Source organism: Homo sapiens, chromosome 14 (genome assembly GCF_000001405.40).
Source record: "Homo sapiens chromosome 14, GRCh38.p14 Primary Assembly".
In the NCBI taxonomy this organism is placed as follows: domain Eukaryota; kingdom Metazoa; phylum Chordata; class Mammalia; order Primates; family Hominidae; genus Homo; species Homo sapiens.
In genome coordinates this window covers 99,279,218-99,295,599 of record NC_000014.9, presented here as the reverse complement: position 1 = coordinate 99,295,599, position 16,382 = coordinate 99,279,218, and the positions used below count along the sequence as shown (strand labels likewise).

The 16,382-nt window shown below is 47.2% G+C and overlaps 1 long non-coding RNA gene across 1 annotated transcript, besides 1 other annotated feature; it reads left to right on the top strand.

The window, feature by feature from the left end:
* Positions 1 to 8,237: 8,237 nt before the first annotated feature.
* Positions 8,238 to 15,589, top strand: LOC105370660 (uncharacterized). Its single transcript, XR_001750881.2, has 3 exons — positions 8,238 to 8,326; positions 10,076 to 10,777; positions 13,863 to 15,589. It is a non-coding gene; the product is annotated as an uncharacterized LOC105370660 (long non-coding RNA).
* Positions 10,958 to 11,680: an enhancer, noted in NCBI's record as "H3K27ac-H3K4me1 hESC enhancer chr14:99750257-99750979 (GRCh37/hg19 assembly coordinates)". NCBI's record gives its function as "activates a minimal SCP1, AML or CMV promoter by ChIP-STARR-seq in primed H9 embryonic stem cells {active_cell/tissue: H9 hESC(primed)}" and the evidence as "EXISTENCE:reporter gene assay evidence [ECO:0000049][PMID:30033119]".
* Positions 15,590 to 16,382: the final 793 nt, after the last annotated feature.

Below are 16,382 nucleotides of genomic sequence, written 5' to 3'. Positions count from 1 at the left end.
CTAAAAATACAAAAAATTAGCTGGGCGTGGTGGCGGGAGCCTGTAGTCCCAGCTACTTGGGAGGCTGAGGTAGGAGAACGGCGTGAACCTGGGAGACGGAGCTTGCAGTGAGCTGAGATGGCGCCACCGCACTCCAGCCTGGGCGACAGAGCGAGACTCTGTCTCAAAACAAAAACAAAAACCAAAAAAACCCTGAAAAACATCAGATCTTGTGAGACTTATTCACTATCACGGGAACAGCACAGGAAGAACCTGACCCCATGATTCAATTACCTCCCACCGGGTCCCTCCCATAACATGTGGCGATTACTACAATTCAAGGTAAGATTTGGGTGGGGACATAGAACCAAACCATATCACTCCCCAAATGCGAATACTTTACTGCATACGCTTTCTCTCTCTCTCTCTCTCTCTCTCTCTCTCTCTCTCTCTCTCTCTCTCTCCCCCCCCCCTCTCCTGAACTATCTAAGAGTAAGATGCCTCTATTTCAGCGTGTGTATTTCCTAAAAGCAAGGATTTATCTTGCATAACCACAGTGCAATGATCAAAATCAGGAAATTAACATTGGTACAAAACTGTAGCCTAAACTATTCCTTATTTAGGTTTCACCAGCTGTCCCAATAATATCCTTTATACTGCAAGAAAGCCCAAGGTCATCTGTTGCTCTCATTTGTCATGCCTCTTTAGTTTCATATTTTACGACACAGACACTTTTGAAGAGCATGGTCCAGTTATTTTGTAGAATGGGTGTCTTTTCTTTTTTTTTTTTTTTGAGATGGAGTCTTACTCTGTTGCCCAGGCTGGAGTGGCACAGTCTCAGCTCACTGCAACCTCTACCTCCTGGGTTCAAGTGATTCTCGTGCCTCAGCCTCATGCGTAGTTGGGATTACAGGTGTGTGCTACCAGAGTCGGGTAATTTTCATATTTTCAGTAGAGACAGGGTTTCACTATGTTGGCCAGGCTGATCTTGACCTCCTGACCTCAAGTGATCCACCAGCCTTGGCCTCCCTAAGTGCTGGGATTACAGGTGTGAGCACCGTGCCTGGCCTGGAATCCAAGGATGGGTTTCCTGATGGTTTCTCATAGGTAGATTCAGTTAAGGCCCTTTGGCCGGAGCACCATGCGGTGATGCTGTGTTCTCAGTGCATCCTATCAGGAAGCACGTGTGGCCCATTAGTCCCATGGCTGGTGACATAACTTCAATCACTTGGTTAAGACGGCATCTGTCAGGCCTCTCTAGTGTAGACACTATTTTATCCTTTGTAATTGAAAAGTATGATGTGAGGCTATACTTTGAGACTATGTAAATATCTTGTTGTTACTCAAAGTCTTATCTCCTAGTTTTAGCATCTATTAATGACTCTTGCTTGAATCAATTATTATAATTATTATTATGGTTGCCAAATGGTGATTTTCTAATTTTATCATTTGTTCTATTTTTATTAGTTGGCTTTCTACTATAATAAATAATTTTTCTTCCTATTTATTCATCTATTTATATCAGTATGATTCATAGATTCTTACTTTATACTATAGGTTATAATCATTTACTGCCATTGTTTATTTTGACACTCAAAGTGTCCCAGATTTGGCCAGTGGAAGCCTCTTTAGTTTGGCTCTTGTGCCTTTTTGACATACCTCTATCTTTTTTTTTTTTTTGGAGCACTTCCTTACATTTTGCTACAAGATGTTCTAAGCTCATCTTGTACATTCCTTGCTCCAGCCCTGGAATCAGTCATCAGTTCCTTTGTGTGGAAAATGACATTTATAAACCAAGATCTTGTCTATACATATGCTCATTGCTACGAGGCCCTCTTAGCAGACAGAACTGGGAAATTTTACACACACACATACATCACATATCCACACATATCTGTATGTGTGTATCTATCAATCATTTACCTATGTATGTATGTATGTATCTATCAATCTATCATCTATCTATATATCTATGTATCTATCATCGGTCTATCAGCATATATTTATCACCTATTTATCTATCAGCTATATATCTGTTATCTATCTATCTATCTATATATCGAAACCTATAAGTTCACACCAATATCTCCAATTCCAAACAACACCTCATGGTACCTCTTATCTTTCTCCTTTTGCATATTTGTAACTCCCTTCTCAATAGTGAAAAGACTGGCTTCCATGATCAACAACATAGTCACATATTTGTTCAGTGATAGAATGTACAGAGTATCCGAATTGCTAACCCATTCCTTTGCAAAAAGGAAGCCTACTAAAGACAGTTCAAGATTTGTTTGGGGTCTTTTTGTCTAGTGTCTGAGGGCATATAATCCAAGTACCATGTTCAAAAGTGACTCAGTTCTCCCCCGCAGCAGTTATGCTATTTATTTGAAATTTAGCTCTGTAGTCTGTTGGTATTCTAATTCAGGTCCTCTCCTCTCTCCTGGTTGATTTCATTTTCTTTTCTTTGAGCACGTGACACATTAACATGGTCAGGATTATATAAAATATAATCAGAGAGTGTTCTGTGTTATGACCCCATCATTTTGAACATTTCACCCCCTTCTCACCCAAGCCTTTTATGTGACTGCTATGGCCTGAATTATGTCCCACTCAAATTCATATGTTGAATCCTTAACCCCCAATACCTGGTCATGATGTATTATCCTTTCAGTGCATTGCAGTATTCAACTTCCTAATATTTTGTTTAAGATTGCTGCATCTATGCTTACGAGAGATTAAGGTCTGCAATTTTCTTTTCTTTTTCTTTTTTTTTTTTTGAGACGGAATCTTGCTCTGTCACCCAGGCTGGAGGGCAGTGGGACGATTTCGGCTCACTGCAGCTTCCACCTCCTGGGTTCAAGCAATTCTCCCACCTCAGCCTCCCAAGTAGCTGGGATTACAGGCACCCACCACCATGCCTGGCTAATTTTCATAGAGATGGGGTTTCACCATATTGGCCAGGCTGTTCTCGAACTCCTGGCCTCAAGTGATCCACCTGCCTCTTGTAACGTCCATGTCAGGTTTCAGTTTTGGGGTTCTGTATCCTCATAAAATGAGTTGGGAGGTGTTTTTTCTTCCTCTGTTTTCTGGAAGAGTTGGTGTAAAACTGGTATTTCTTCCTTAAATATTTGGAAAATTTACCAATGAAGTCATCTGGACCTATTTTTTTTTTTTTTGGTGGGGGCTGGGGAGAGCAGAGAAAGAGGAAGGAGGGGAAGAAGGTTTTAAATTACAGATTCAATCTTAAACAGACGTGACTCTGAAAATTTTCTGTTTCTTCTGATGGTAGTTTTTTGTTTGTTTGTGTATTTTGAGCGTCTCACTCTGTCACCTGGGTTGGAGTGCAGTGGTGCGGTCGAGCCTCCTGGGCTCAAGTGATCCTCCAGCCTCAGCCTCCCAAGTAGCTGAGACTACAGGTCCACACCACCACGCTTGGCTAATTTTGTAGAGATGGGGTCTTGATATGTTGCCCAGGCTGGTCTTGAACTCCTGGCTTCAAGGGATCCTCCCAACTCAGCCTCTTAAAGTGCTGGGATTATAGCTGTGAGCTACTGTGCCTTATGTCAGTTTTGATAATTGGTATTTTTCAAGGAATTGGTTCATTTTATCCAAGTTGTCAGTGTTTCAGTGATAAATCAACTGGTCCAGGAAGGCCTCCTTGAGAAGGCAATATGTGAACAGAGACCTGAAGGAGGAGAGGAAGCAGGCCATGACCTGGGGAGCATATTGCAGGGAGAGGAAATAGAAGATGCAAAGATCCTGACGCATGTACCTGCCTGTGAGTTGCAGAATAATCCACAGGCCAGCGGAGTGGTGTTCCGGAGGGAGAGAGTGGTGGGGTTAAGGTCAGAGAGGCAAAGGAGGCTGGGACCTAGGACCCTCTGGGCCATCATAGGGTCTTTGGTTTTTACTCTGAGTAACAGAAAGTTTTCGTCAGAGCAGTGTTGTGATCTGGCTATGCTTCAAAATATCAGACTGACTGTTGAGAGTAGCCTCAAGGAAGAAGCAAAAAGACCAGACAGGAGGCTCTTGGCCTGGGGAGGTGGCAGTAGGGTTAGTGAGACCTGGCCATGTTCTGGAAAGACTTTAAAGGCAGAAGCCATACAGTGTGATGAGGGGTTGGATGTTGGGTGTGGGAGAAAGAGAAAGGTCAGGGCTGACTCTCAGGGTTTTAGCCTGAGCAGTGACCATATTCTGAATTAGAGAATACTGTGGGCAGAGCAGATTTGGGGAGTGGAGCTCTGAAGTCAGTCTTGGAGAGGTTAACAGTGAGAGGCCTGTTAGGCACTCACTGTTAGTGAGTTAGTCCACTGTTAGTGAGGAAGTCCATCAGGTAGCTGGATACATGGAAGCATTGTTCGGGGCTGGGGACACATTGGCATGTAGATGGCATTTGAAGCCACATGAGACGTTGGTATTGCCAAGGGAGTGAGTGTAAGTTGAGAAGAGGTCTGAGGGATGAGCTCTGGGGCAGAACTATGCCCAGAGGTTGAGAGATGAGGGAGAACCAGAAAAGAGATTTCTGGCCGGTGAGATGGGGGAAAAAACCAGGGGCACGTGGCCACCTCAAAGCCCAGCAAAGAGGAGGAACGCCCTGCCATGGCACAGGCAACCGACGGGCCTGGGGTGATGAGGACTGCGTGGTGACATTGCACTTAGCAACAGAGAGGCCAGTGGTGACTTTGGCAAGGGCCCTTGGGTGGCTCCTGAGAGCCAAGGCGGATGGGGTGGCTTCCACAGGGACTGGGAAGACAGAGACCCAACAGAGTTAGCATAGACAGCCCTGTCACAAATGTGCTCTTCTTGGAGAAATAGGCTGGTACCTGGGGGAGCTATGGAGGAATTACAGCGTGTCTTGATTACAGCTGGTAAAATGAGAGCTGTTTACATGCCAAGTCCTGGGGCACTGTGGGGTCCCAGAGGTAAAGAAGACACCATTCCTGCACCCACTGAGTTCAGTAGCAGCTTGGGGCCTGCAGGGTTACAGCCCAGGGACTGATGTGCTGTGATGGATGAGGCCCAGTGCCTGGTTGGAGCCTGCAGAGGGAAGCCTTCCTGGAGGAAGTGATGTCTGGCCGAGCCTTGAAAGGGAGGTGAAGAGGCCTCCTCCCCCAGGAAGCCTTCCTTGGTGTATTTGCACAACACCCCTCATCTTTGTCTCCATAGAACTCGCTGCGTTCTACTTGGTACTGGCTATCTATGGGGATTGCATTCACACAGGTGAAGCGCCTTCCACGCCCAGATGCTGAGCTTAGTACTTTCACCTGAGCTTTCTCAGTTCCTCCTTGGAACTGCGTTGTGAGGGAGGTCCCGCTAGGATTCCATCTCACAGAGGAGGAAACTGAGGCCCTGGGGGGTTGAAGGGCCTTGCCTGAGTTCACACTGCCAGGAAGCAGCTGAGCTCGATTTGAATTCTTTCTGATCCCTATCCAGCGGCCTTAGCACATAGCAGGGGCTCAGGAAATGTTTTTTGACTCGACACTACCAGGGAGGTTTGATCTTGCAGAGGCCAGAGGAGGAGAAGATCTCCTGGCTGACTCCACAGACACAGCTCAGAGGGGAACCCCCTTCGCCCATCCTCGGGACCTGCTTCAAGGGAGCTATGTGGCTTACACCTGGTCCCTGGGCTTCGGAGTGAGCTCGGGAACCCTGGCTTTGCTTCAGAATAAAGGAGGCTGGACGTAGACGGGAAGGCCCCATTGAAGCCCTTCTGCCTCCTGGGCCTGGGAGTCAGGGCATCGGGGCCCACCCCATGGCTCAGGCACTACCCCGGTCCTGTGCCTCCCCCGCCTCTCCCTGGCCTCAGACTCCCTCCTAAGGTAGGTGGACTGCATTATCTCTTGGTTCCTTCCAGCTTAAAAAGTCTATGTTCTAAATCCATCCATCAAACCCTATTTTGAGGGCTTTGAAGTGAAGCCTGGGTGTTTTTACCTTATCCCACACACCTACCTCACACCTTCCAAAGTTCCAACATCTCCTTTGATTGGCATGTCAAGTGGACACATTTCTGGACTGGAGGGGCCCCCACTGTGAGCCTCTGTTTCCAAGGAGCTAGCTGCTCACTTCCAAATGCTGCGGGTTGGTTTGCTCCTGAGGGCACATTGCACAACCAGGAATAAAGTCTCCTAGATTCTTGCCTCTGTATTACCTTGAAAGCCCCATGCTTCTTCAGTGTGATGGGAGCAAGCACAGTGAGTGATGGATAAAGGAATGGTGCCAGCAGTGAACTTCAGAGGACGGAGGGAAAAACCTCAGTCAGCTCAGAATAAGATCCTGCGTATGTTATGTAACAAATCCAGGTGTGTGGGCACTTCCGTTGACCCATGGTCCTGATTCCCAAATTGACTGGTGAAGAAATTTCTAGTGAAGGCCCCTTCAGTCAACAAGGAGTAACTGTGCACACCCTCTTCCTGGACATGGTGCCAATGGGCACTGCCAACCACACTCGGGGGCTGTTCTGCATTTCCCAGCTTCTCTGGAGGTCGGGTTGGGTCATGTGACTGGCTCTGGCCAATGGGCTGTGAATAGAGGTGATGAGTGTCACTTCTGGGTTGAGGCAGTTAAGAGCCAGTGGGACTCCTCCGTCTCCCTCTTCCCCTGCCATGGAGGTCCTGGAGGCCATGAGGGGTGGCTAGAGGGATAGAAGGACCACCAACAGCCTATGGCAAAAGAGGACATGTGAACCTTTCTTGTGTAAACTTCTTGTTTTTTCGAATTTATTTTTATTATTATTATACTTTAAGTTCTTGGGTACATGTGCACAATGTGCAGGTTTGTTACATATGTATACATGTGCCATGTTGGTGTGCTGCACCCACTAACTTGTCATTTACATTAGGTATATCTCCTAATGCTATCCCTCCCCCCTCCCCCCACCCCATGACAGGTCCCGGTGTGTGATGTTCCCCTTCCTGTGCCCAAGTGTTCTCATTGTTCAATTCCCACCTATGAGTGAGAACATGTGGTGTTTGGTTTTTTGTCCTTGCGATAGTTTGCTGAGAATGATCGTTTCCAGCTTCATCCATGTCCCTACCAAGGACCTGAACTCATCCTTTCTCATGGCTGCATAATATTCCATGGTGTATATGTGCCACATTTTCTTAATCCAGTCTATCATTGATGGACATTTGGGTTGGTTCCAAGTCTTTGCTATTGTGAATAGTTCCACAATAAACATACGTGTGCATGTGTCTTTATAGCAGCATGATTTATAATCCTTTGGGTATATACTCAGTAATGGGATGGCTGGGTCAAATGGTATTTCTAGTTCTAGATCCCTGAGGAATCGCCACACTGTCTTCCACAATGGTTGAACTAGTTTACAGTCCCACCAACAGTGTAAAACTGTTCCTATTTCTTCACATCCTCTCCAGCACCTGTTGTTTCCCGACTTTTTAATGATTGCCATTCTAACTGGTGTGAGGTGGTATCTCATTGTGGTTTTGATTTGCATTTCTCTGATGGCCAATGATGATGAGCATTTCTTCATGTGTCTGTTGGCTGCATAAATGTCTTCTTTTGAGAAGCGTCTGTTCATATCCTTCGTCCACTTTTTGATGGAGTTGTTTTTTTCTCGTAAATTTGTTTGAGTTATTTGTAGATTCTGGATATTAGCCCTTTGTCAGATGAGTAGATTGCAAAAATTTTCTCCCATTCTGTAGGTTGCCTGTTCACTCAGATGGTAGTTTCTTTTGCTGTGCAGACGCTCTTTAGTTTAAATAGATCCCATTTGTCAATTTTGGCTTTTGTTGCCCTTGCTTTTGGTGTTTTAGACATGAAGTCCTCTTAGATAAAGAGATTAAGTTGTGTAGCAGCACAGCCTGGGTTACCCTAACATGAGGAGGTAGACACAACAGGACGCGTGTCATTGGAAAAACCGACTTTGAACCCTGCGTCTGCTGCTACTGCCTGTGCAGTCTTGAGCTAATCGCATAGCTTGGCTTCCCTCCTATAAAATGAGATGGATGTGTAACCCGGGGGGCGGTGTGGTGTGTAGGAAGAGTGGATGTCAAATGTCCAGCTGCTGCCTGGTGCATAAGAGAGGCACAGCCTGGGTCTGAGTCAGCTCTCTGTGAGCCCTGCCCTGTGACTTCACTCCCGCTGAAGGCTCAGTCAACTGGGGGAGACCGTTCCATGAAGAGTGAGGGCGCATCTACCCCACCATACATGCCTTTGGTCAAAGTTGCAGAAGCCTGTGGTTGGGCGTGAACCCAGCACTTTGCAGAAGTGTGAATTCTTAATTTACCTCCCCCACAGCCACACACACAGGAGTGAAGGCAGCAGAGCCAAGCAGGAACCCGTCCTGCCCCAGGCCTGAGCTTTCTTAAGAGGCTCATGGGGCAGAAAGGTAAAGTGGTTTCTTCCTCATCTTCCATGTGCAGGAGCAGGGGTAGAGCTATGTGCCTAGATAATTTCATTTTGTGGGGCGCTGGGGGGAGGAGGGAAAATGGGGCTTCTTCACTCTATTATGTCCAGGAGGGTTTTCAGTAAGCACCAGAAAAATGTGTCTTTTATGTAATTCCATTTTCCTGTGCAGTAATTTACTACTAGTAGTTAGTTAATAGTTTCTCTTGTTTTTAATTCTTTATTTGTTAAACACAAAAATGAAAATGAAACCCAGCTACACACCGAGCTAACACTTCAGTGGCTGAAGAGTTTCACCGGGGTGCAGTCTTATTTTAGGGTCAACTTTGTGTGTGGTTACTTGGAGGGTGTGATTTGAGGCCACTACAAATATTCAGCCCTTAAATATTTCCTCCACTGAAGCATTATTTTCCCCTAAACCCTGACTTTATAACTGGAGCTTAAACTATGTGCAAAGTCCCAAGCTAGGACAAGAGGGTGGCAGGGGACATCTGAGTGGGAGTTCAGGGCAAACCTGCCATGGTTTTGGCCTCAAGATACTCACAGTCCAGGCATTATTGCTCTTTTCTGAGGTTGACAAGGAGGGCCACCAGTTCTTGTCAACATTCTCTTTGCAAATATGAAATGCAGGGAAATCTTTATTTATGTAATTTTAAAGGCAGAGTCTGTCACCCAGGCTGGAGTGCAATAGTACAATTATAGCTCACTGCAGCCTAGAACTCCTGGACTCAAGTAATCCTCCTGCCTCAGCCTCCCAAATCGCTGAGACTACAGGCCTGTGCCACTATGCTTGGCCAATTTTCTTTTCAAATTTTTGTAGAGATGAGGTCTCACAATGTTGCTTAGGCTGGCCTTGAACTCCTGGCCTCATAAGGTCCTCCTGCCTCAGTCACCTACAGTGCTGGGATTACGGGTGTGAGGCACTGCGCCCCGGCCTTGGGGATACTTTCCACAGTGTTTTACGACTTCGTAGAAAAGACCTGTGACCCCTGAGCCCCCGAGGGCAGGGTCTGTGTCCAGGTACCTTGGCTCTGCTGGCCTGGCCCCGGCTCATTATCCAGCACAGGGCAGGCACACACATTCATTTCTGGGGGTTGGCATAACAAAGTATTGCTAGCTGGGTGGCTTAAAACAAGAGGTGCTGATTGACAACTAGGGAGGCTAGAAGTCTGAAATCACGGTGTCTCTGGGCCACGTTCCCCCTCCAGGGGAAGATCCTTCCTTGCCTCTTCCTAGCTTCTGGTGGTTGCCAGCATTCTTTGGTGTTTCTGGCAGCTGTCTGGGTCCAGTGTCTGCCTCCGTTGTCACCAGACGTCCTCCCTGTGTGTCTCTGTGTTCACATGGCTGTGTTTTTAGGAGGACACCAGTCATTGCATGGAAGGTCCACCCTAACCCAGGATGACCTCATCTTAACTAATTACATTTGCAAAGACCCTAAGGCACATTCACAGGTACAGGGCTTAGGACTCCAACATATTATGGGGGGGTAGGGGGCATGATTTGACCCACAACAGAGCACAATGCTTGGTAACAATGTAGTTACCAAGTGAACCATGAGGTGCTTTGGGAGCAGGGAGGGCATTGGAAAACGAGGGCGAACAGGCCACAGAAAGGAGGGCTTTGCATGTAAAATGTGTCTAAGTATTCAAACACTGCGTGGCGCTGTGTTGGGTGAGAAAGGGAGTCTCTTAGTTTACCACTTTGCCGAAACCCAGGGTTTTTCTCTTCCTAGGGTCATTGTGCATTTTTGTTGACTATTGATTCTCCCCTTCATTCAACAACTGTACTGAGGCCAGATCCCAAACTGAGCTCTGACGAGATGGAGAAGCAAAGGACACGGTTCCTGCCCCCAAGGAGCTCCCAGACAAGCAGGAGAGAAGGTGGCTCCCAGACAAGCAGGAGAGAAGGCAGCTCCCAGACAAGCAGGAGAGAAGGCCGTGGAAATGATCCTTCTGATACCACAGCCTGCCGATGTCATCTAGAACTCTGGGGGATTGGGGGAAAACGAACAGAACCAGATTAAAAAAAAAACCCTGTCCTTAGCTAGGTGTGGTGGTGGGCACCTGTTATCCCAGCTACTTGGGCGGCTGAGGCAGGAGAATCGCTTGAACCCAGGAGGTGGAGACTGCAGTGAGCCAAGACTGTGCCACTGCACTCCAGCCTGGGTGACAGAGCGAGACTCTGTCTCAAAACAAAAAATGAAAAACAAAAATGAAAAAGAAAAACAAAAACCAAACCCTGCCTTGTAATTTTGACTTTTACTTTATCCAAGTCAGGACTCCTGGTCTGAAGAATATTTGACCTCATAACTATTGGGGGACACTGGGGCTCCCTGCCCAGGGACAGGATGTTCTCTGCAGATATCAGGACGTGGGTGCCGATGACAAGGGCGCTTTGCCGCCATGGCCCGGGGCTGGAAGCGCAGCTCTCAAAGGTTGGTTGTGAAGCTTCCAGGGGAGATGGTCCTCTGCAGGAAGAATAAGAGCCATCCTGTAGCCTTCGCTGTTCCAGAAGGCTCCGTGGTGAATACATAATTAGGTCCTCTGTAATTACCAGTTTGAATCTGCCTAGGACACTAAGGCTCCCACCCCCTAATTTACCTTATAAATTTATTCTGCTAAAAAAGTCGAAAATGTCAGTCTTCTGTGAACGCTGCATAAATGAATTATCTCCCCATGACAGAAGGTGGGGAGCGGGGAGGCTTCCAGAGGACATTCCTCACTGTGAGTGTCGGAAAGTGCTCCATGCTTCGCAAGCACCCAGCAGAGAGCCTAACCAAGCTGCTTCCTGCGCCCACCCCACGGAAGGCCAGGTTCCAGCAGGTTCTGTGTAGCTGGTTAGCCGGTTAGCCAGCCCCAGCAGGGCGAGCAGAGGTGGCTTTAAAATCAGCCTGTTTGGCAGCTGTGAGAGAGCTTTGCCTTAGCGTGCAGTCCCAGGTAATGGAGGGCTGCAGACAGAAGGAAAGGAAGGAAAAAGCATGGCAGCTTCTTAAAGAAGGTCTCATCCAACCACGTCCCACAGACCTCCCTGCACCCAGGATGGTCTCACACCATAGCATGGCAACCATCTCCTTGATTCTTTCACAAAGAATAGTTTTACAAAACTATTTATTACAATGTACGAGGCTGGGCGCGGTGGCTCACGCCTGTAATCTCAGCACTTTGGGAGGCAGAGGCAGGCGGATCACTTGAGGCCAGGAGTTCGAGAGCAGCTTTGCCTATATGGGGAAACCCTGTCTCTACTAAAAATACAAAAATACAAAAATTAGCCAGTCATGGTGGCGGGCACCTGTAGCTCCAGCTACTTGGGACGCTGAGGCAGAATTGCTTGAACCTGGGAGGCAGAGGTTGCAGTGAGCCGAGATATTGTGCCACTGTACTCCAGCCTGGGTGATAAAGCCAGACGCCATTTCAAAAAAGAAAAAAAAATGTACAGCAAGTCTTTAGTGACATTCTAGGGGGTTTGGGAAACAAAGTTCCTTTTTTTCTTTTTGAGACAGAGCCTCACTCTGTCACCTGGGCTGGAGTACAGTGGCGTGATCTTGGCTCACTGCAACCTCCGCCTCTCGGGTTCAAGCGATTCTCCTGCCTCAGCCTCCAGAGTAGCTGGGATTAGCCCGCCACTACAGCAAGCTAATTTTTTTTATTTTTAGTAGAGATGGGGTTTCACTATGTTGGCCAGGCTGATCTTGAACTCATGACCTTGTGATTCGCCTGTCTCGGGCTCCCAAAGTGCTGAGATTACAGGTATGAGCCACCGCGCCCGGTGGGAGACAAAGTTCTTTTAAAATCCCCCCTAATCTCATAATTCTCACACAATAGCTGCTGTTATTTCTGAATCTCCTTCCGGTCTTTTTCTCATATGTAGTCTATTATTTTCCTCCTGAATAATTAGTCAAAAGGTTCAGCCGCTACAACCTTTAATTTTTAATTTTTGGCGGCTGATAATAAAAACCATAAATGCAGATTATAGAAAATGTGGAGACCGAGAGAAGAAAATGAACAATGATTCCCCACCCTCAAACTCCCATATGCTCATCTCTGAACCCTGAGAGCTTTCTTTGCAGTTTTTGTCCCATGGCCATGGTTTTTCTTTTTCTTTCTTTCTTTTTTTTTTTTTTTCCGAGATGGAGTTTTGCTCTTGTCCCCCAGGCTGGAGTTCAGTGGCCAGATCTCGGCTCGCTGCAAACTCCGCTTCCTGGGTTCAAGCGATTCTCCGCCTCAGCCTCCTGAGTAGCTGGGATTACAGGTGCCTGCTGCCACGCCCAGCTAATTTTTGTATTTTTAGTAGAGACAGCGTTTCACCATGTTGGCCAGGCTGGTCGCGAACTTCTGGCCTCTGACCTCAGGTGACCCACCCGTTTTGGCCTCCCAAAGTGCTGGGATTACAGGTGAGAGCCACCGCGCCCGGCTGGCCTTGGATTTTCTAGTTTGCCTGTGTATTAGGTCTTGTAGTGAGGTCCAGCTGGCTCAGTCACTGATACCCTCCTATGTGCCCGTCACAGGCACAGGAGACAAGGTAGGATCTGGACTGTCTGCTTTGAGAAGCTCAGAGCCCAGTGACCTGCTACTAGCAGATAACAACTATAATGTTTTCCTCTGGGTATTGGCAAAGGTTAGCCTGGTCCTTGGCACAAAGTAGGTGTGCTATGATTTGAATGTGTCCCCTCCAAAATTCACGCTGAAACTCAGTCCCCATTGTGGTGGTATTCAGAGGTAGGGCCTCTGGGGAGATGACTGAGTCATGGAGGCTCTGCCCCATGAGTGGATTAGGAGAGAAAGGGCTGGAGGGAACTAGCTTAGGCCTGTTTGCTCCTCTGCCATGTGAAGCTGTCGTGTTTGTCCACCCTGGAGGATGTGGCAACAAGGCACCATCTTGGCAGCAAAGGCTGGGGCCCTCACCAGACACTGAACCTTCTGACGCCTTCATCTTGGACTTGCCAACCTCCAGAAATGTGAGAAATCAACGTCTATTCTTTTTTTTTTTTTTTTTTTTTTTTTGAGATGGAGTCTCACTCTGTCACCCAGGCTGGAGTAAAATGGCGTGATCTCGGCTCACTGTAACCTCCGCCTCCCAAGCTCAAGCGATTCTCCTGTTTCAGCATCCTGAGTAGCTGGGATTACAGGCACCTACCATCATGCCTGGCTAATTTTTGTATTTTTGTAGAGATGGGGTTTCACCATGTTGGCCAGGCTGGTCTTGAACTCCTGACCTCAGGTGATCTGCCCGCCTTGGCCTCCCAAAGTGCTGGGATTACAGGCATGAGCCACTGCGCCCGGCAATATCTATTCTGTATACATTACGCGGTCTCAGGTATTTTGTTACAGCAGCGCTGAGACAAGATGCTTCATCAATATTAGTCGATTATGTACCAGTGAAATCTGGGGGAAATTTCCCATTTCATTCCTGAAATATTGACGTGTGTACCTTAGACTGAGTTGAATGTGAATCTCTTGTTTCATGAGTAAAACGCCTCCATAATAATATCTATCATTTATTCAATGCCTCCTCTGTGCCAGGCCTGTGCTGGGGGCTTTCTGAGAGGTCATCTGATGAGATGCTCACAGAGGCGTTGATAGAGGAGGACCTGGGATGTCGAGAAGAGAAACCGCATGAAGGCTTTTGCAGCTAGCAGCGGGCGCAGCGGAGACTTGACCCTGGCGATCTCGGAGGCGTATATCAAGCTGTGTGTGCCCTGTCCTGCTTTTCTCACAGGCTGCTGGGAGGACAAACTCAAGTCAGGGAAGCAAAAGGGCTTTGTACACTAAAACTCTGTCCCAACATGAGTTGTTTGTCTGTTTCAAATTTTACCAGCAGAAACGTCTGTCTTACCCCACTCTCTCCACCCCATTTCTCTCTGCCTCAATTATCTGGTTTCATAACCGTGGTGTGTCTTGTTGGATTTTGCTGTCTCAAACAAACAAACAAACAAACAAAATCTCTTCTACTAACTGAGTATACTGTGTCCTTAATGCAAACTTTGTTTCTCTGTAATTCTCTTCCTTCCTCCATGTCTCGATCCAGCACTGACTTTGTCTTTGCTGTTCTGGTTCCACATCTGGTGATGTTTTCAGCTGCCTGTTATTGGCTTGCAGGATGGCTGGAAATCCAACCTGGGTATAGGACGGCATAGTGGTTATACACAGAGACAGACCTGGGGTGATTTGGGCTCTACCTCGTGGTGGCTGACTTCGGGTTTCCTGTCTAAGGGGGATGAAAGTCTTTCTCTTCTGAGGATTAGATAAGATAAATGCCTCACAATGTAATTAGACAGAGTGTCTCTTTGAATGAGTAGGTCTTGAGGGTCTTGGAAGAATTCTGCAATCTGTGCTCAGGACCCCTGAGCCCTGCTGCTTTGCTCCCATGGCACTTGGGACACATGGCCATGAGTCCATGTGATGGGCTGTACTCTCACTACTATAATTGCTGAACTATGTCATCAACTTTTGTTTTCCCTTGCTCTGTTCTTTGGAGCTGGGGTGGTGTGTCAGATTCAGGCTTGCCTGAACTTGGAACCTCAGTACCACCACCTCACAATATTGCCATCTTTGGGCCCTGTCCCCCATGGTGTGCTTGGCATACAGCAGGCGTCCCATCCGCGTGTGTTGTTGAAGGAACAAATCACAGCCATGCTTATGATGCGACTGCTGCATGGCGAGAGACCGGGCCAGGCGCTTTGCTAAGACCCACTCATCACCGCTTATACAGAGCGGTGAAGCCCATCTGACAGGGAGACCACAGAGCCTGAGAAATGAATGCCCTTTCCCCAGCCGACTCAGCCAAAGCCTGAGCTTCCAGATGGGCACCCTGGCAGCATGTAGCAGGCCAGGGTTTGCAGGGCAGGGGAGCCATTCTACTTCAAGGCAGCAGGCAGCCCTCATGGCTGGTGGGGAGGCTACTGACAGTCACTAGCTGTGACTACTAGCAGGCAGGTTTTAGGGAATGACGCCTCGATTTTTCACTTTGAGGAAACCCTTGATGTGCACCGTGGCAGTGGCAGAGGCTAATCGCGTGGATCTGGGAGCTAATGCAGCTGCTGTAATTCCTGTCACCTTCTCACAGCTCAGTGGGAGCTTCCGATGAATAAATCGTGGCATTCAGGGGCTGCATACATCAGTGGCAGGTGTCACCGTCATAGGTCGGGCAGGGCACTGGTGCTCCACCTTGCCTTGTCTTTAATTAAAGGAGGAAATATGTCAGAACTGACAGGACCACTGACCAGCCTACCAGGTCCTTTCCAGTCGCAGTGAAATCAACCGTTAAAGATGCTCATCTCAAGAGGAGAACGAGTCTCTTATGCTTCTGGGGAGAAATCACCATCTGGCGAGGGTTTCCTGGCCTTTGGGGGTCCCCCTGCTACCTCCTCTGAGCCATCTGGGGCTCCCCTGCATTTGCCCCTTACTTGGGAACTGTAACCCTTAGGGATCAGAGGGAGCATGGGAACAAAACAATTCAATAAAGTCACAATAAAGCATCCAAAGCCCTTCATACTTTTTCACTTTCTTTAACTCAATTTATTTTTCATTTTGTGGACAGAGATTTAGTCTGGGTATTAGTTTATGATTTTTACTGAAGGAATTACTCAACACACACACATATAAAAAGGAAATATTATTTTTATCATTTATTTTGTGCCATGTATACCATAGGAGAAAAAAACGGAGCGAAATCACTTCAGTACCGCTGTGTTTTTCATTACAAAGTTATTACATATAGAAATTACTCCAAATTATCTGAAATGAATGGAAATTATGAGGTTTAAATTCCCCAGGTTACTGCAGGCACAGCTCTGGAAATTTATTTTGTCATCTTGCTGAACATAATTGCTACAACAAAATTTCTTCCATTTTACAACTGCAGCATAACTTATTTATACCGGTGTAGCTGTAATTTTACATCAATAAGTTGCATGGGAAGGAATACACAGGTGGTAATTGAAAACAATAATTTGTACTGAGGTCCAGGTGGAACGGTTGGCTCAGAAAAAGGCTCCAGTTATTATCGGCAACAGCTTTGTGTCACTGCGGCCTCTTCTCATC